The 18,786-nt window shown below is 42.8% G+C and overlaps 1 protein-coding gene across 8 annotated transcripts in view, besides 1 other annotated feature; it reads right to left on the reverse strand.

The window, feature by feature from the left end:
• TTLL11 (tubulin tyrosine ligase like 11) overlaps positions 1–18,786 on the reverse strand; it is a 277,635-nt gene that overhangs the window by 218,983 nt on the left and 39,866 nt on the right. For all 8 annotated transcript variants that reach the window (XR_001746188.2, XR_929721.4, XR_929720.4 and 5 more), the window contains exon 2: positions 4,616–4,712. Coding sequence is in view for 5 of the 8 variants with exons in the window: in XM_047422825.1 (XP_047278781.1) it covers positions 4,616–4,712 (97 nt within the window). In the remaining 3 variants the exon portion in view is untranslated. The remainder of the gene's footprint in view (positions 1–4,615; positions 4,713–18,786) is intronic.
• Positions 4,271–5,470: an enhancer, noted in NCBI's record as "P300/CBP strongly-dependent group 1 enhancer chr9:124801206-124802405 (GRCh37/hg19 assembly coordinates)". NCBI's record gives its function as "activates an origin of replication core promoter dependent on BRD2, BRD4, P300/CBP, MED14 and CDK7 cofactors, with strong dependence on P300/CBP, by STARR-seq in HCT116 cells {active_cell/tissue: HCT116}" and the evidence as "EXISTENCE:reporter gene assay evidence [ECO:0000049][PMID:35650434]".

Raw genomic sequence — 18,786 nt, forward strand, 5'->3', positions numbered from 1 at the left:
CCACCTCTGGAGGTGGCTCAGAGACAGGTGTGGGAGTGGCAACTTCTCCATTATGACCCTGACAAGCGTAGCAGGGTTTCTAGCTGATCCAGGGCACGCGTTCCCAGAGTAAATCTGTGAGAAGGAAGGTCATGGCCAGCTCTGCTGACTTCAGGCCCTACTGGCTCCAGGCCCTGTCCCCTTTCCCTAAGCAGCTGCAGCGCCTGACCCCTCGTCACCTGTGTCCCCTCCCTGGGCTCTAGGACCAATTCTGAACTGAGATCGAAGCTCTAGGTCTAACCCCCAGCTCCCTTCTGCTAAAAGTCTGACCTAGACTATGTATTCCAACCAGATAAGAAGGATTTTACCCATTTTTCCGGTGTTCTATTGCTTGTATCCAAATGTTGGTGACCTTATCTTTTGCTCCTGGAGCCTGAGTGGCTGCCTTAGCAATGCAGAGCTGCGTCCTTTTCTTTGTTCTCTCCAATGCCCCTCCTCTCTCCAACCTCTCCTCTGTTCCCCTCAAGCCCACCCTGCAAGGGCTGGAATCCTCCTGTCTGTGACTTTCACCCAGTGTCTGGGGTCCTGCTACCTAACAGCTCCTTTTGAGGTTGACTGCCCACCTAGGTTTCTCAATAAGGTCTATCCCTAGATGTCCCTATGAGGGCAGTTCCCCTATCGATTGGGAAAACCTCCTAATTCAGGTGGGAGTTTCTGACACCAAGGGCTTACCTCCTGCCCCTCCTTCTGAGGCCTGGGCTTTTCTGTCTGCTACGCTGGAGTCTCAAGGCCTGGTGGGTCTCACCCCATTCAAGTTAACTGACAGCATAACAGTTCAACCTCAGGTTTGCCCATGCAGCCCTACTTAACCCAGTTAATGTAAAACAAAACAAACTAAAACTGAGCTATACTTGGAGCACTATTCAATCAAAATATTATTTATAACAATAATTCTTGGCAAAAACATATTAGAACCACCAAACAACAAATAAATCCTTTCAGATCCATCCTGTTCTCTCTATTCTGATTGCCACTAATTCATTCATCTCTTGGGTGGATGCTGCAGCAGACTCTTAGCTACATCTCTGTTTCTTCTCTGAGCCATCTCATTTCTAATGTGTCCCTCTGGCTGATCTTGCTAACATGCAAGCTGACCCGTGTCACTGTCTGGCTTAAAAATTCCTCAGTGGCTCCCTATGACCTTCAGGCTCTAACAATGCTGTAGTTGGGTTCCTACTCATCACCCCTCCCCTGCCCTGCTCACCTGACGCCCTCTAACCATGGTAGGCCACTTGCCCTTCGATGAACGAGTAATATGCTGAAGGCATTCTGTCTTTGCACCAACTCTGCTCCCTTGTTTGGCATGGGGATCAGGCCCATCCATCCTGGAGGCTCAGTTTCCATGCCAGTCCTGTTCTCCAGGAGCTCTCACCCTGCTGCTCCCTGGGCAAATCTGGGTTAGGTTGCCCGCCCTTGCTCCGGACCCCCACAGCATTCCAGCTTCCTCCAGCAAAGCCCCTAGGCTGTATTTTTCTTCTCTCTTTACATGCCTTTCTCTGTGTCTTTATAGCCCCAGAGCCCAGACCAATGCTTGACAGATGGCTGTCCCCACAGGTTCCTCACTGAAGCTCCCTCCCTCTCCAGCAGAAAGCCCCCTCCTCAGGTGGGCTCTCAGGTACCACCTGCCATGTGATGCCATACATCTCAGACCCTGAAACTCAGCAAAAGACCTGCTCAGAACCTGAGAATGGACAGTTTTGGACTTTCTTAAAGCTAAATCTGATATGTCTAATCTGACATGTCTGATTTAGATACGTCTAAAGAAAGTAGACATATCTAATAATCTACTTTCTTTAGACGTATCTAAATCAGATTATTTTCATAGAAAGTCTTAATTCATCAGCCAAAATATAATAATGTAATTTGAACCAGGAAATTACCCATAGAAAAGTGACTAAAATCTAATGTGCTGACACAAACAAAATTAATCACTTCCATCTGTATATATCCGTTCTCAGTTGACCCAGCAAATAAAGCGTTTACACTTGCCTGGGATATCCACTAGAACTTACCCTAAGTAATATACAATGTATAGAAAGTGCATTTTAGAATAATGAGATATATGAGAGACAGAAGATAAGCTTGGACACAAACTGGTATCAGAGGCCAGACTGTTCTGGAATTACCCCTCTGCTGAGGATTACTACCTTTCACAGGGTAGAGGGTGTGGCAGCACTGTTCCTCTGCCTAGAGGTTTAAGAGTCTGCTTTGTCATTAGAACTAATTAATTTCTGTTAATAATGTGGAAAAGTCTATGTTCCAATCACCGGCATGTGGAATATGGGATGGGGCAAACTTGCTTCTTTGGAATGAATATCATTCTATCACCTTTATGAAACTAATCCTTTGTGGGTACTTCATTCTATATTTCTAATTTGTATTCCAAATGTAGATCTATAGCTACTTCTTTCCTACTCTGAGACACTAGATGAGGCATGAGCAAATGGGGAAAATGTAAATGAGGCCTCATTTGATGATTCATGTCTTAGGAACTCTGTCCTCATTCAAAGCGTTTTCTCTTCCAAACTGTATTCTCCCAATATCCTAATAAGTCCTTTAAGTGGCATCACAAAGCATCCTTTTCTGAGCAGCAAGACACAAAAAATAATAGCTATCCCATTAAACTGTTGGGTAAGAACTCTGGCTGCAAGAATCATTCTTGTTCTGTAACAAAACCCTTTCTCCTTCTCTAAGGATAAATTTGACCTTGGGTTAACTTTCTATCTCAGTTCCCCTAGAAAACAATGAAGGTAGAATGTTAGCTGAATTACTAGGCCACAAAGCATATGGTTAAAATGATCCCTGATTTGGTAAATTGCATAGATATCTAGTAGAAAGTCATTGCTCTAGGCTTTTCTGAGTGCGATGATTCTTGTAACTTAATATGACCCTTGCTTGGACCTTAGAAGGCATACTATGGAGCAGTTCTAAAAGATACTGGATTCTGTGGGGCATCTAAGCCAAGAAAGACTCATATCCACCAATGTGGATCTTGTCCTTTTGCACCTGAGCTTTCACTTGAGGAGCCAGAGACTAGTCTCTGGAACTCTTGCAAATACTCCACTGAAGAGAAATGCTTGACACTGACTGTCCAGCAAGCCGTGTTTCCTGCCCTGTATCCTTCTAAGTGAATCTGAGCTAAGTGTGGCCTATGGTAGTGAACTTGTAAGACTGCATGCTTAGGTGAAAACCCCTAGTGGATGTGGCATAACTACCACCCCCTGTATAACGTATGGCTATTGTGTTTTCTGCAATGCGTTTTCTTAAAGACGTGGGATAGAATGTCAAGGAAACAGTAAATTGATTCTCCCTTTAAAATAGGTAAAATTGATAAAATACTAAGAGAAAACACCCTATATTTAGGCAACTACACTAGGACTGCAACCATGCAAAAAGGATGAGTAAACTTGCTTAAGGTTTGGGAGGAAATATAGAAATATTCATATTGCTGTTTTGTTAAATGAGATATGGGATTCAGGGTGATGTTCTTTTTAGAAAGTATTTATTATGGCATTATAATATGGTCTGTGTAATATATTAACATTTTAAAAAATAAGTGGAAGGCCCTTTGACTGCATCATACCCAGCTTAATCCAGTGCTCCTTCTCCCTAAGCTGTCCTACCATCTTAAATATCCTCTTCATTCAGCCATCAAAAATAATGAAGAGACCCGGTACAGTGGCTCACGCTTGTAATCCCAGCACTGTGGGAGACTGAGGCAGGTGGGTCACTTGAGGTCAGGAGTTCGAGACCAGCCTGGCCAACGTGACATGGCAAAACCCTGTCTCTACTAAAAATACAAAATTAGCCGGGTATGGTGGTACAGGCCTGTAATCCCAGCTACTCGGAAGGCTGAGGCAGGAGAATTGCTTGAACCTGGGAGGCAGAGGTTGCAGTGAGCCAAGATCGTGCTGCTGCTCTCCAGTATGAGTGACCAAGCGAGACTCCATCTCAGAAAAGTGGTAGAGATTAAAATGCAAAACAAAAAAGTTGTATTGGGAGGTTGGTAGTGGAGTGAGAGGGATATCTTAGTGCTGGCTATGATGCTTTTCTAGCACTAAGATTTCTCCTTGCAGGATAAGTCTTGCTGAGATAATGTCATTAGGTAAAAGGCAGAGGCTGTGTGCAGCCTGTAGTACTTAATATGGAGACCAGTATATTTGGTTTTAAAAATGGTACCTCCAAATATAATACTTAAAGAAAAGGGAAGCTGATACCCCATTTCTATGACATATGCCTAGAATTTTGGTGCTTTTGTTTCCCGCAAGAATGAAATGTTCTATTATTTTTTCATTTTCAGAATATATTCCTCTCATTAGAACCCCATATTATATGCATAACCCAAAAAGTGGAAACCATGTTCTTCCACCAGTGGCATTAGACCAAGAAAGCCTGCCTTTGAACCTTTAAAAGCCTGTCTCCAATCCTTAAAACCTTAATGGCTAGTGAACACAGCAATTCCCAATTAAGAGTCCTCAAATCTGATCTCAAAAATAACTGTCATGTTTTAGTAGAAGAGTGTATCTGAGACTTGGCCCTAGAAACATGTTTAAATGTCAACAATAACAGCAGATACCTGGAAACTTGTTCACTTGACCGGAGAATATGTCATTGTCGTGAAATGAAACTCCATGCCAGTAGATGTCACAAGGCAAGCGCCGGCCAAATGGGAACTAGAAGAGAAAAAATGTGACTCGCAATAAGAATAAGAAGAGCAGTGACCACACTGAGTATCCATTATGTACAAATTCCTGGCACCCTGGTGTACTTACCATGGTTTAATCCTTATAATACGCATATGAGGTAAGTGATATTCTTTGCCATTTTACAGATGAGGAAACAGATTCAAACAGGTTTAATAACTTGTTCCAAGTGGTAGAGCTCTGATTACATGTGGCAGATACTACACTCCTGGCTTTGCAGGCACCATTTCACTTTAATCCTTATAACTACCCTATAAAGGATTACTCCCATTTTGCTGATTCAAAACTTGGGGCTGACAGAGGTAATTTAACATGCCCAAGGGTCACACAGAGCTGGTAAGGGGAGGAACCAGGATTAGAGTCCAGGTCTATCCAAATTCCAAGCCCATACATCCCTTCCTCTGAAAATTACAACCCTCAACCGAGCCCAAAAGAATAAGCTTTCAGAGTCCCTCTTCCCTTATCTCTCTCTCTCTCTCTCTCTCTCTCACACACACACACACACATACACACACACATATGCTCCATGAGGGTAAGATGAATCCCAGGGCCTAAAACAGTTCCCCAAACTCGTAAAGACTTCCTGAATTAATAAATGAACAAATCAGGAGTGGTCATCTGACTCAAGATGAGATAACCAGATTCTCTCTTCCAGGAATCTGGAAATCAGAGATGCCAGGCAGCCTCTGCTGGCCCTTGAACTGGCAGGGATAAAAAGCCAGGGCAGGGCAGCTGTGCTTGGCTATGTGCACAGGAGCAGAGACAGCCAGTCTGCTGAGAGACAAGAAAGGAGCAGGTGTGGGAGGGAAAGCAGAGATGAGACAACATAGCCCTAGAAACTCAGACTGAGTGGCCTCAGACCCGCGTGAGCCTGTAAGATAGCCTTGTATCCTGAGAATACCTTTTTGGTCTTCTAAAATCTTGTTTGGCACAAGCTATAGAGTTTCAATTATTTGAAGCCAGAAAATTTCTCACCGAGACAAAAGGGCCTGTTCTTTCCACTACATCCTGTTGCTTCTCAAAGTTATCAACAAGCTCTGCATTTAATGAACATATTTTTTAAATCTGTAACTCAGATGACCTTGTTAAAGGAGAAAAGAGAGGCCATGTTAGTTCATATTCAGAATTTGCTTGTTAAAAGTGCACACAAATAGATATGCCAACATATTAAATAAAAATCTTTTGATTTTCCCATTCTAGGACTATAGGTAATCAGAATTTTTATCTACTTCAAGTTGAGGGGCCAAGGTCCAATGGAAGAACATAGCCTTACTAATGAAATGGTGGTGACTCAATGCTTTCCATACATTCCACATTAAAATGAAGCCAGCCTCAAGTCATTTAAATCAGTCACATTATTTCAAAGCTGTGCACAATGAGGCATATGTTGTACACTCTACTCACATTAACAACTTCCATCTATAATTTACAGCATTTTGCTCATTTTCTTTTTATGCAATGGGCTGTAAGTTATTAATTCAGTACTCATAAATACAATGAGATACAACATATGTTATTTTCTTCTAGCTGTTAAGTGCTAATATAGAGAAGGAGAAAATAACCAGAATTAAGCAGGCTATCCGAGCAAAGGGTAAAGTGGCTTTGCTTTGTTGCCCACAATGAGGAACCAACACCTTGTCAGTGGGCAACCCAATGACTCTTATCTCCTTTTTCATCACTCTTCAATGCTTACCACCCTCATGAATACCAAATTGCCCCCCCTTTTAGAGGCACCTTTAGCTCATTCAGTTTTGAGAAACTACCATTTTTAAAAACATGTCCATTCACTCAGTAATTATTATATGCCAGACTAGGTGCTAGGAATATGGGGGATATAATTTTAATTAAGTCCCAGGATTTCATAATCCTACCTCTTTTTAAGCTCCTTTAAAAACTGTCCGCTTACACAGCTAACATCATACTCAATGGTAAAATACTAAAAGCTTTAAAGCTTTTCCACCATGATCAGGAATAAGACAAAGATGCCCACTTTTATTTTACATCAACATAGTATTATAAATTCTAGCCAGAATAGGCAAGAGAAAGATATAGAAGGTGTCCACATTAGAAAATAAGAAGCAAAATTATCTGTTTGTTGATGACATGATCCCATATGTAGAAAACTCTAATGATTCCACAGAAAAATATTCAAAGTAATAAACAAATTCAGCAAAGTTGCAGGATACAAAATCAACACATAAAAATCAACTGTGTTTCATACATGATGAGGAGCAATCCAAAAAGGACCTTTTTTTAAAAGAATTCCATTTATAATAGCATCAAAAAGAATAAAATACTTAGGAATTAACCAAAAAGGTGAAAGACTTGTACACTGAAAACTATAAAATATTTGTAAAAGAAATTAAAGAAGATATTAATACAAATAAACAGAAAGATATCCTATGCTCATAGACCGGAAGAGTTAATATTGTTAGGATGTCAATACTACCTAAAATGGTCTACAGATGCAATGCAGTCTCTATCAAAATCCCAATAACTTTTTTTCAAAATAAAAAAATCCATCCTAAAATTCATATGGAATTACAAGGGACCCCAAATAGCAAAAACAATCTTGAAAAAAAAAAAAAGAACCAAGTGGAGTTCTCATACTTCCTTTTTTTTTTTTTTTGAAACAGAGTCTTCTTCCATCACCCAGGCTGGAGTGCAGTGGTACAATCTCAGCTCACTGCAACCTCTGCCTCCTGGATCAAGTGATTCTTTCTCTTCTGCCTCAGCCCCCCGAGTGGCTGGGATTACTGGCACATGCCAGCGCACCCAGCTAATTCTTGTATTTTTAGTAGAGGCTGGGTTTTGCCATGTTGGCCAGTCTGGTCTCAGGCCATCCACCTGCCTCGGCCTCCCCAAGTGCTGGGATTAAAGGCGTGAGTCACTGCGCCCAGGCTGGAGGTCTCACATTTCCTGATGCCAAAAACAAAGCTACAGTAATCAAATAGTGTATACAATCACAATGAGATACCACCAGCACCTATTACAATGGCCAAAGTCCAAAACACTGACATACCAAATGCTGGCAAGGACGTCGAGCAACAGGAACCCTCATTCCTTTCTGGTGGAAATGCAAAATGGTAAAGCCACTTTACAAGGCAGTTTGGCAGTTTCTTACAAAACTAAACATACTCTTATTATATAATCCAGCAATTAGTTCTCCTCGGTATTTATCCAAATGGGTTGAAAAACTTATATCCACACAAAAATCTGCACATGAATGTTTATAGCAGCTGTATTCATAACTGCCAAAACTTGGAAGCAGCTGAGATGTCCTTCAGTAGGTGAGTCCTTCTGTAGGTGAGTAGATAAATAAACTACAGTATATCCAAACAATGAAATATTATTCAGTGCTAAAAAGAAATGAGCTGTCAAGCCACAAAAGACATGGAGGAATCTTAAATGCATATTACTAAATGGAATAAGTCAATCTGAAAAAGCTACATACTGTATGATTCCAACTAAACTACATTCTGGAAAAGGCAAAACTACAGAGACAGTAAAAAGATCAGTATTTGCCAGGGGCCCGAGGGGAGGAAGAGATGAATAGGTGAAGTACAGAGGATTTTAGAGCAGTGAAAATACTCTGTGTGATACTATAATGGTAGATACATGTCATTATACATTTTTCAAAACCCATAGAATAGCACCAAGAGTGAAGAGTAATGTAAACTATGGACTTTGGGTGATGATGACATGTCAGTGTAGTTTCATCAGTTGTAAAAAACACACCACTCTGATTCAGGATTTTGATGGTGGGGGAGGCTATCAATGCAGGTGGGGGAAAATCTCTGCACCATATGCTCAATTTTGCTGTGAACCAAAAATGCTTTAAAAATGAAAATAAAAACAAATGAAAAAAATCAGTGTGGTACTGGCATAAAGACAGATATAGAGGACAGTGGGATAGGATAGCTCAGAAATAAAGCCTCTCAGGTGTGATCAAATGATTCTCAACAAGGATGACAAGACTATTCAATAGGGAAAGGGCAGTCTTTTCAACAAGTGGTGCTGGGAAAACTGAATATCCACGTGCAAAAAGAATGAAGTTGGACCTTTACCTTATACCATATACAAAAATTAACCCAAAATAGATCAAAGGCCTAATCATATGAGCCAAATCAAAGGCCTAATCATATGAGAAAAGCTTCATAACACTAGAAATACAGAAAATATAGGAGAAAAGCTTCATAACACTAGAAATATAGAAAACATAGGAGAAAAGCTTCATAACACTGCATTTGGCAATGATTTCTTGGATATGACAACGTAAGCACAGCCAACAAAAAACAAAATAGGTAAATCAAAGATAAAAATTAAAAACTTTTTTTCATCAAAAGACACTATGAACAGAGTGAAAAGGTAACCCACAGAATGGCAGAAAATATGTGCAAAATCATATATTTGATAATAGATCAATAGTCAGAATATATATATATTTTTTTCTTTTCTTTTTTTATTTTATTATTATACTTTAAGTTTTAGGGTACATGTGCACAACGTGCAGGTTTGTTACATATGTATACATGTGCCATGTTGGTGTGCTGCACCCATTAACTCGTCATTTAGTATTAGGTATATCTCCTAATGCTATCCCTTCCCCCTCCCCTCATCCCACAACAGTCCCCGGTGTGTGATGTTCCCCTTCCTGTGTCCATGTGTTCTCATTGTTCAATTCCCACCTACGAGTGAGAACGTGCAGTGTTTGGTTTTTTGTCCTTGCGATAGTTTGCTGAGAATGATGGTTTCCAGCTTCATCCATGTCCCTATAAAGGACATGAACTCATCCTTTTTTATGGCTGCATAGTATTCCATGGTGTATATGTGCCACATTTTCTTAATCCAGTCTATCATTGTTGGACATTTGGGTTGGTTCCAAGTCTTTGCTATTGTGAATAGTGCCGCAATAAACATACGTGTGCATGTGTCTTTATAGCAGCATGATTTATAATCCTTTGGGTATATACCCAGTAATGGGATGGCTGGGTCAAATGGTATTTCTAGTTCTAGATCCCTGAGGAATTGCCACACCGACTTCCACAATGGTTGAACTAGTTTACAGTCCCACCAACAGTATAAAAGTGTTCCTATTTCTCCACATCCTCTCTAGCACCGGTTGTTTCCTGACTTTTTAATGATCGCCATTCTAACTGGTGTGAGATGGTATCGCATTGTGGTTTTGATTTGCATTTCTCTGATGGCCAGTGATGATGAGCAGAATATATTTTTAAACTCCTACAACTCAACAATGAAAAAACACTTACAAAATGGACAAAAGTCCTGAATAGACATTTCTCCTAAGATATACTAATGGCCAATGAGCATATGAAAAGATATTTAACATCATTAATCATTTAAAAAATTGCAAATCAAAATCATAAGAAACTGCTTCATACCCATTAGGATAACTATTATCAAAAACAGGCTGGGCGAGGTGGCACACACCTGTAATCACAGCACTTTGGGAGGCTGACGCGGGAGGAGTTCAAGACCAGCCTGAGCAACATAGCAGGGCCCCCATCTAACAAACAACAACAACAAAATACCTGAAAAATTAGCTGGGCATCGTGGCATGCCTGTAGTCCCAACTACTCGGGAAGCTGAAGCAGGAGGATTGCTTGAACCCAGGTGTTTGAGGCTATAGTGAACTATGATTGCACCACTGCTCTCCAGCCTAGATGATAGAGACCCTATCTAAAAAAAAAGAAAAAAAATCACAGGACCTAAGTGTTGACAAGTATATAGAGAAATTGGAACCCTTGCACATTAAGAATATAGAAAGCTGCTGTAGTTAAAAAAAAAAATCACTGGCTGATTGATCTAGCAATTCCAGTTCTGGGTGTATCCCCCAAAAGAATTGAAAGCAGGCTGGGCGCAGTTCCTCACCCCTGTAATCCCAGCACTTTGGGAGGCCGAGGTGGGCAGATCACCTGAGGTCAGGGGTTCAAGATCAGCCTGGCCAACATGGCGAAACTCTGTCTCTACTACAAATACAAAAATTAGCCGGGCGTCGTGGCGCGCCTGTAATTCCAGTTACTTGGGAGGCTGAGGCAGGAGAATCGCTTGAACCCAGGAAGCAGAGGTTGCAGTGAGCCAAGATCACGCCACTGCACTCCAGCCTGGGCGATAGAGTGAGACTCCATCGCAAAAAAAAGAAAAGAAATGAAAGCAGAAACTCAAACAGATATTTATATACCAACATTCATAGGAGCATATTCACAATAGCCAAAATGTAGAAAAAGCCCAGGTGTGTCCATTAGTGGATGAAGAAATAAACACAATATGGTATATAAATACAATAGAAAATTATCCGGCCTTATAAAGGAAGGAAATTCTTCTACAACATGGATGTACCTTGAAGATGTGATGCTAAGTGAATGAGTCAGACACAAAAAGACAAATATCGTATGATTCTACTTATCTGAGGAACCTAGAGTAGTCAAATTCATAGAGGCAGAAAGTAGGATGGTGGTTGCCAGAGGCTGAAGGGAACAGAAATAGGGAGTTAGTGTTTAATGGGTACAGAGTGTCAGTTTGGGAAGATAAGAAAGTTCTGGAGATGCATGACAGTGATGGTTGGACAGCAGTGTGATTGTACTTAAAGCCACTGAACTGTACACCTAAAAATGGTTAAAATGGTAAATTTTATATCATGTATGTTTTACCACAATAAAAACAAAACACCATCTACTTAAGCCCCCTGATAGAGTTTGGATTTGTGTCCCCGCCCAAGTTTCATGTCGACTTGCAATCCCCAGTGTTGGAGAAGAGGCCTGGTGAGAGGTGATTGGATCATGGGGACAGACTTCCCTCTTGCTGCTCTCGTGACAGTGAATTCTCACGAGATCTGGTTGTTTAAAAGTGTGTAGCACCTCCCCTCCTTCTCTCTCTTCCTCCTGCTCCAGCCATGTAAGACACCTCCTTCCTGTTTGCCTTCTTCCATGATTGTAAGTTTCCTGAGGCCTCCAGAGCCATTCTTCCTGTACAGCCTGTGAACCATGAGCCAATTAAACCTCTTTCCCTTATCAATTACCCAGTCTCAGGTAGTTCTTTATAGCAAGAACAGACTAATACGCCCCCTGCAGCTGAGGGGCCATTTGTGGCTCTACTCTGAGCTGTCTGCAGTGTAGAATGCTGTTCAGATTGTCATGGAGCATTGAAAGCTGACAAATGGTTCTCAGATCCCCATTCTCCATCTTTTTCCAGTCCTGACCATCCTCCCAGTTTCCCGAGTTCTAAATCTGGTAGTCATCTTTCCTTTTCTCTTCTTCAGACACTTTTGGAAAAAGCACTGGATTTGGGATCAGCAGACCTGAGAGTCCTAGACTTGTCTCTGGCACTCACTGTGAGATTGTAATTAAGCCTCTATCCTCAGGAGATAGAGATGAGGAAACGTGGCAAGATAGCGAGGAGAACCAACCAAGATATGGAAATGGAAGGGCTTAGTACATGCCACAGAACAACACAATCTGAGTTCCATCATTGATTCAGGTACTCATTAGGTGTTGATTAAGTACCTCCTACGCGCCAAAGGGTCTCAGGAGCCAACAACACAATGGGAAATGTCTGCCTTCGGAGTATATGGTCCATGGGGGAGAAGATGATAAGCCAGATGGTGCTCAAAGGTATCACTATAAACCATGGTAGGGGCTGTGGAAGGAATCCCAGAGAGCAACGAGGGCACAGGAAGACCTAGTCACATCTGGGGAGCCTGAGAAGGCCACCCCGTGTCAGGTGACCACCTGCCCATTTGTCCAGAAGTTTCCAGCATATGCCTGTTGTCCTGGTGTCATTGTTCATAACACCCATTGCACTTTCAAATGTATCCCAGTTTGGGCAATAAATAAAATGGTCAACCTTTTCCCGAGGATGGGCAATTTGAGCTGAGATTGGAAGGAAGAATGGGAGTTGACTAGGAGATGAGGGAAGAAGGGTGTTCAGACAGAAAATAAATGTGTAAAAGCACAGAGGTAGGACTGTCATTGGCTCAAGGCAAAGCCTGATGGAGGGTCAGGGTGGCTGCAGCAGAGAGGACAAGAGGGAAGTGGTGGAGATGAGACTTCAGCAGGGGGCAGCTCAGGTAGGGCTGCACCCTGTGCTGGAGCATGCCCCCACCCCCTCTCCCCAGAAGAGAATGAACCCAGCGACCCAGCTGGGAAATAGAGACCACAGAGAGAGAGAGTACATGTTGTAAAAGCAAGGGAAAAGTGTTTCAAGACTAAAGGAGTGGTGGGAAGCTGAGAGGTCAGACAAGATGAACATTAAAAACTGCTCATTTGATATAATACCACAGAGAGCTTTGGAACCACTCCAGTTCACACCATCACCTTCCTGATTCCCTTACTATGCTTAGGATGTGCCTGTGCTGTTCTTTAGTTATTTCATGTGTAATCCTTATCTCCTTCATTAACACTATGCATTTCTAGGGCTAGGGACAATTTGATATGCGTGTCTCAGGTCTCCAGTGGGGTGTAACCAGGTATCTGGCAGGTCCCAGGCCCACAGGAAAATTAGAAGCCATAATCCTGAGAATCACCCATGTCACCTTCTCCCTCCTCAACATCCACTGGGCAGCAAGCCCTCTGGCTGATCTCTTAGCTTATTTTTAATTTCCTCTCCTTCCTGAATCCCCACTGCCTCTGCCTTACTTCAGGGCCTCATCTCTCACCAGCCTCCTCCCCCATCTCCCTTCCTCCAGGGTCTCCTCTTTAGTCTACCTGACACACAGCAGGACGAGAGACTTTTATTTTCATTATTTTTATTTTTATTTTTATTTTTTCAGAGATGGGGTCTCACTCTGTCAGCCAGCCTGGGTGCAGTGGTGTGATAATAGCTCACTGCAGCTTCAAACTCCTAGCCTCAAGTGATCCTCCCGCATCAGCCTCCCTAGTAGCTGGAACTATAAGCAAATGGCACAGCACCTGACTATATCTTTTACTTTTTGTAGAGTCAGAGTTGCGCTATGTTGCCCAGGCTGGTCTCAAACTCCTGGCCTCAAACGGTTTTACCATCTTGGCTTTCCAAAGTGCTGGGATTATAGATGTGAGGCACTGAACCCAGCCCAGATTTTTATTTTTAAACACAGCTCTGACCATATTGCTCCTTTGCTACAACTCTTCAATGCCTCCCCGTGGACCGACCACAGGATCAAGGCTAAGCTCCAAGCCTCATCTGAAAGACACTTCACAGACTCCCCTCTGCCAACCTGCCCACCTCAAGTTGGGCCACTTAACTCTTGGGCACTTGCACTGTCACTGTGACTAATTTCGATCCTTTAAGGATACAGCACTTTATTATTTAGTGGCCTGGGTTTCTTCATGTCATTCCTTCCGCCTGGGATCTTCTGACTGGGCTTGCCCATCCACTCCCCCTCCATGATGATGATCTCTCAGCTCTCTTTGTCTGTGGCCTCTGTCGCTACACCCATCACAGGCCATTCTGCAACATCTTGTCTGTACATCTGTCCACCTGGCCACTTTGCAAACTCCTTAAGCACAAGGAGAGCCCATGATCATCAGTGTATCCCTAACACCAAGGCTTCAGCACCCTGTAGGCTTTGTTTTTAACCTTTCTGAGGTCATAAATTCCTTTGAGATTCGTGCCAGAAAAAAAAAAAAAGCACGCACATGCACAAAATCTTCCACATGAGCTTAGGAGATTCAAAGACTCCCTACAGCCCCTAGTTGTTCTCAGATACCAGTGTTAGCAATGCCTGCAGTAATGTTTCATGAATGAATGAACTCACAAAGAGCAGCCACTCAAATACATGTCATCATCATCACCACTAACATTAGCATTTAGGTAATGCTTATTCCTATGTCTATGTGTTAAACACTTTACATGTATTACCTTATTTAATCCACAAACATGATAAAAGTGCTATTAACCCGATGATAAAGATTATGATATAGGTGCTACTATTAACCCTATTTGCAAATGAGGGTACCAAGTGCTAGGAGAGTAAATAACTTTCCCAAGGTCACAGAGGTATTATAGTAAGGGCAGAGGCAGGATCAAATCCAGGTCTGCGCAGTTTCAAGGCCCATGCACTTAAGCACTACAGATGTCTTTTTGGAGACTGCTATAGTCTTATTTACTAGTCACGCATGAATAACTGTAACCCTCACCCTACATGCTACCATCTTTGTCACAAAGAAAGTTCCTCCCCCAGAGTATACACCTGGATGGACCCGAAATCTTTTCCCTCTTGACCAGAAGAACTAAAAACAAACTTGCAAAATAGTCATGTTCAAATGAGAACTGAAGCTGTTAAATGTTCTTTGAGCAAATCTGTGTTTAAGGAATTGATGTTCGGGTCCCTCTTCTAATGGCCCAAAGAGAAATTTCAAGTCCCCCTGGGGACTTTGCAAAATGAAATTTCACAGTGAATGCTGATGAAAGCACAGTTCACATTTCTGTACTTTGTGAATGATTTTCTTCATAAAGCTTCTCTATGAACAGAAAGCATTTCAACTGACTGAGGATAAAGGTGGCAAATAAGCTTTGATATAAGCAAGTCTGTGTGCAATGCATCTGTAGGGGGGAAATGGTCCAAATGGCTGCTCTAAGATGAGGGGTCCAAAGTACTCAAAGGAAACACAGGGAAGGTGCTGTCATGGCTAAGGTACCAAGCGTGGACCAGCGAGACCCCAGCTCAAGCCGCAACCCACCACACCCCACTCAGAGACTCCAGCAGTGACTTTGCTTCCGCAGCTCAGCTACAACTGAGAAAAACAATAGTAATAAAACCTGTCCACCTCCCAGGGCTGTTATGTGGACTGCGATAACACATGGGAAAGCACTTTGCAAACAGTACATTGCTGTAATATGAGACAAGTTATTATTTTTAATGTCCAAGGAAATCACCTCAACAAGTAACTTCAATTTAAAAAGACACCAACCAAATATCGCGTGTCATTAGGACAGCTCTTGAGTAAGGACACTGCGGTGTGCGTGCACTTGGGAAACCTTCCATGATGCCTTCAGGCAGGTTAATAGAGTTCTCTCCAATGTTCCCCTGGCATTCTGTTGGTGCCAGTAATATAGCCACTGTCTTACGGGGCATTAATGTTTACATGACGGCCTCCCTCACCTGACAGATGCTTCAGGGGAGAGAAATTTTATTCTTCTTTCTATCCTCTCCCCTACCTGTGGTCTGCAGCCTCCAAGATGGTCCCCAGTGATCCCTGCCTCCTGGAATTCAATCCCTTGTGTGTCCTCTCCCACATTGTCACAGGCTTGGTCTAGATGACCAATGGCATACAGCAGAAGTGATAAGCCGTCACTTCTGATATTTAGGATATTTTTATAAAAAGACTACGGTGTCTGCCTTAGTCTCCTCACTCCCCCTTTGCTTTGGGAATGCCTAGGGAGACGCCCACATGGTAAGCAATCGGAGTCACCTGCCATCAGCCATGTGAGTGAGCTTGGAAGTGGATCTGTCAGCCCCAGTCAAGTACTCAGGGTCTGCGGCTCTGCCCAACAGCTTGATTGTAGCCTCATGAAAAAGCCTAAGCCAGAACCACCCAGCTAAGTCACACTCAGATTCCTAACCCTCAAAAATGGTGTAAGATCATAGATGTTTTTGTTTTAAGCTGCTTAGTTTTGGGGAAATTTGTTACACAGCAATAGATAATGAATGCACCATTTCAGTTTTAGAGCAAGGTCCCAGAGAAAGAACATGTTCTGAGAATGAAGGAATTTAAGATTAATATATCCTTATAATATAATGAATATAATAATTACTATTGAGTACTTAACAATGTGCCAGGTATCTTACATAAATGCCTCCATTTTGCAGATAAAGAAATATAATCCCATTGCTAATAAGTGACAAACCCAGAATTTGAAGCCATGTTGGTTTATCTCCAAAGACTGCATTCCTTCAATTCGACTAAGGGGGATGGATGGATGGATGGATGAAATGAGCACATACAGCAGAGAGTTGTGACAAACACTTCAAAGAAGATATCATAAATTTCTTTAACATACCCTGCAGTTTCTGCCTTGGCATCCATTTTGTGGTCTAGCATAAAGTTATTTGAAACCCAGTCATACCACATCGCCTTTGGCCTAGTTAAAACTTTCCCTCCCATGTGGTTGCTTGTGATACTGCCTGCTTGTTGCTCATCCCACGGACCCAAAACCCAACACACCCACAGCTGCTGACCACAACAAAACCTAATCACCAACACCAGAGTCTGTCTGTCTCTCTTCTCTCTCTCTTTCTCTCTCTCTGTGTCTCTCTCTTGCTCACTCACTCGCTCTCACTTCCCACTCGCTGGTTGAGCTCTCTGTCCCCTCCAGACTTCCAGACAGTCCCCAGTCAATGCCCCTAACCTCTCTGGATCCTCTGAGTAATAAATTTCTTCTGTTTCACCTCCTCATTGTGTCTTATCTGACACACACCCAAACCTAACTTTCCCCTTGGTCAGGGCTCTCCTGGAGACTGGCTATCTTGGCCTGTGGCTACGCTCAACAGAGAGACCTCGAGACCAAATTAGAAAGAACCCAAAACAATAAAAATCATAAAAGAAAAAACATAGCACAGAAAAGTCCAGAAGAGGCCAATTAAGACAAAGAAAGGACTAAGCAACTGCCCTTCAAGAGTGGACAAAAAAAAACTATCACTCTTCCTCAATCAAGAAAAAAAGCAGACTAAGAAAATACTGGTGGAAATTGATGAAATCCTGAAGGGTGTGACCAGATGGAACACAGTTCTATCTGCCAAATGTGAGCACATCAAAAGAAGGCATGTCCCTTTCAGGCCTGAAAGAGGGAGGCCCGCTCACTTCTCTGCCTTGCTGCTCACATCTCAGTGAACAGCACTGCTCCCCAGACAGAGGAGAAATTCCACCCCAACTGAGGGGCTCAGGAAGATTCCAGGCTCACTCTTGCCTATGGAAAATGGAGCTGGTGAGAAAAGGTTTCCCCATGCCAGCAAGGGACCAGACAGCTTCCCGACTGCAGTGTCTTTGGATGGGGCTGGTGGGGAAGCCCACCTGTGGGAGCAACTCCAAGTCTGTTTCCTCGATGGGAACAATAATGTCGACTTGATTGGGTTATTACAAGGATTAATAGTATGTTTGGACCACCTAGCACGGGGCCTGGCACACAATGCTTGATGCATAGCAGGTGTTCAAAAAATGCTGGTTTCTTCTTCTCTTCCATTCTTTCCTATCATTCTTCACCTCATACTTATTGACTGATAAGATTTTTAAAAACTCTTCCTTCATCCATCTTTCTGTTACCCAAAAGAGCTAGGAGATGGGGGTGTTTTGCAGGACTAGCCTAAGTTTAAATGTGCACATGGTACAATCAGGGTATTAAAGCCATGTGAGTCTTCATGGGTAGGCACGTAACCTCTGGAGAAAGCCCACAAGTGCAGAAAGGCTCCTTCCCTCGAGTTCAGGAACTTGGATTCAAATCTCAGCCCTGCCAACTATTAAGGGCCTGGGTTTCATCATCTGAGAAAGATGAGTAGCAGAGCCTCCCTCACAGGGGATGTTGTAAAGGTGAAAACAACCGCATAGGTGAAAGTCTGTTTGTGAATGGCCTGGCAGACAGTAGGAGTCAAATTAGTCCAATTAGAGAATATTGAAAGCAAGCCTCCTGGATTATTCACCTAATTAAGTCCCTTGGTGAGAAAGGCAGAGAGGAAGAGTCCCCAGACATGCCTGCTGGCAGAGAAAGCAGAAGCTGGCCGTCCACAAACCCACCTCAGGAAAAAGTCCATCAAGCATGGCTCTGGTCCACCAGGAATCCAGGAGCCGGGTCGGGGTAGAGGCAGATGTGTGGGCAGATCTGCAAATGCACTCTGCGTGTCAAAGTGCTGTGTGAGAGCCCAGAGGGAGGAGCAGTGGTTTCTGGTCTAGATGAGAAAAGCTTAACCAAGGAGGGGCCACTGGAGCGGGGCGTGAAGTAGGCCTTCGCAAAGGAAGAGACGAAGGGAAATCAGGCAGAGGACTATAGGACAGCAGAGATGTCCCACGTGCCTGGAGCCTGGGGGAAAGGGGAACAGCCAAAGTTGGAGAGGTCC

This window comes from Homo sapiens, chromosome 9, assembly GCF_000001405.40.
Source record: "Homo sapiens chromosome 9, GRCh38.p14 Primary Assembly".
Lineage (NCBI taxonomy): Eukaryota > Metazoa > Chordata > Mammalia > Primates > Hominidae > Homo > Homo sapiens.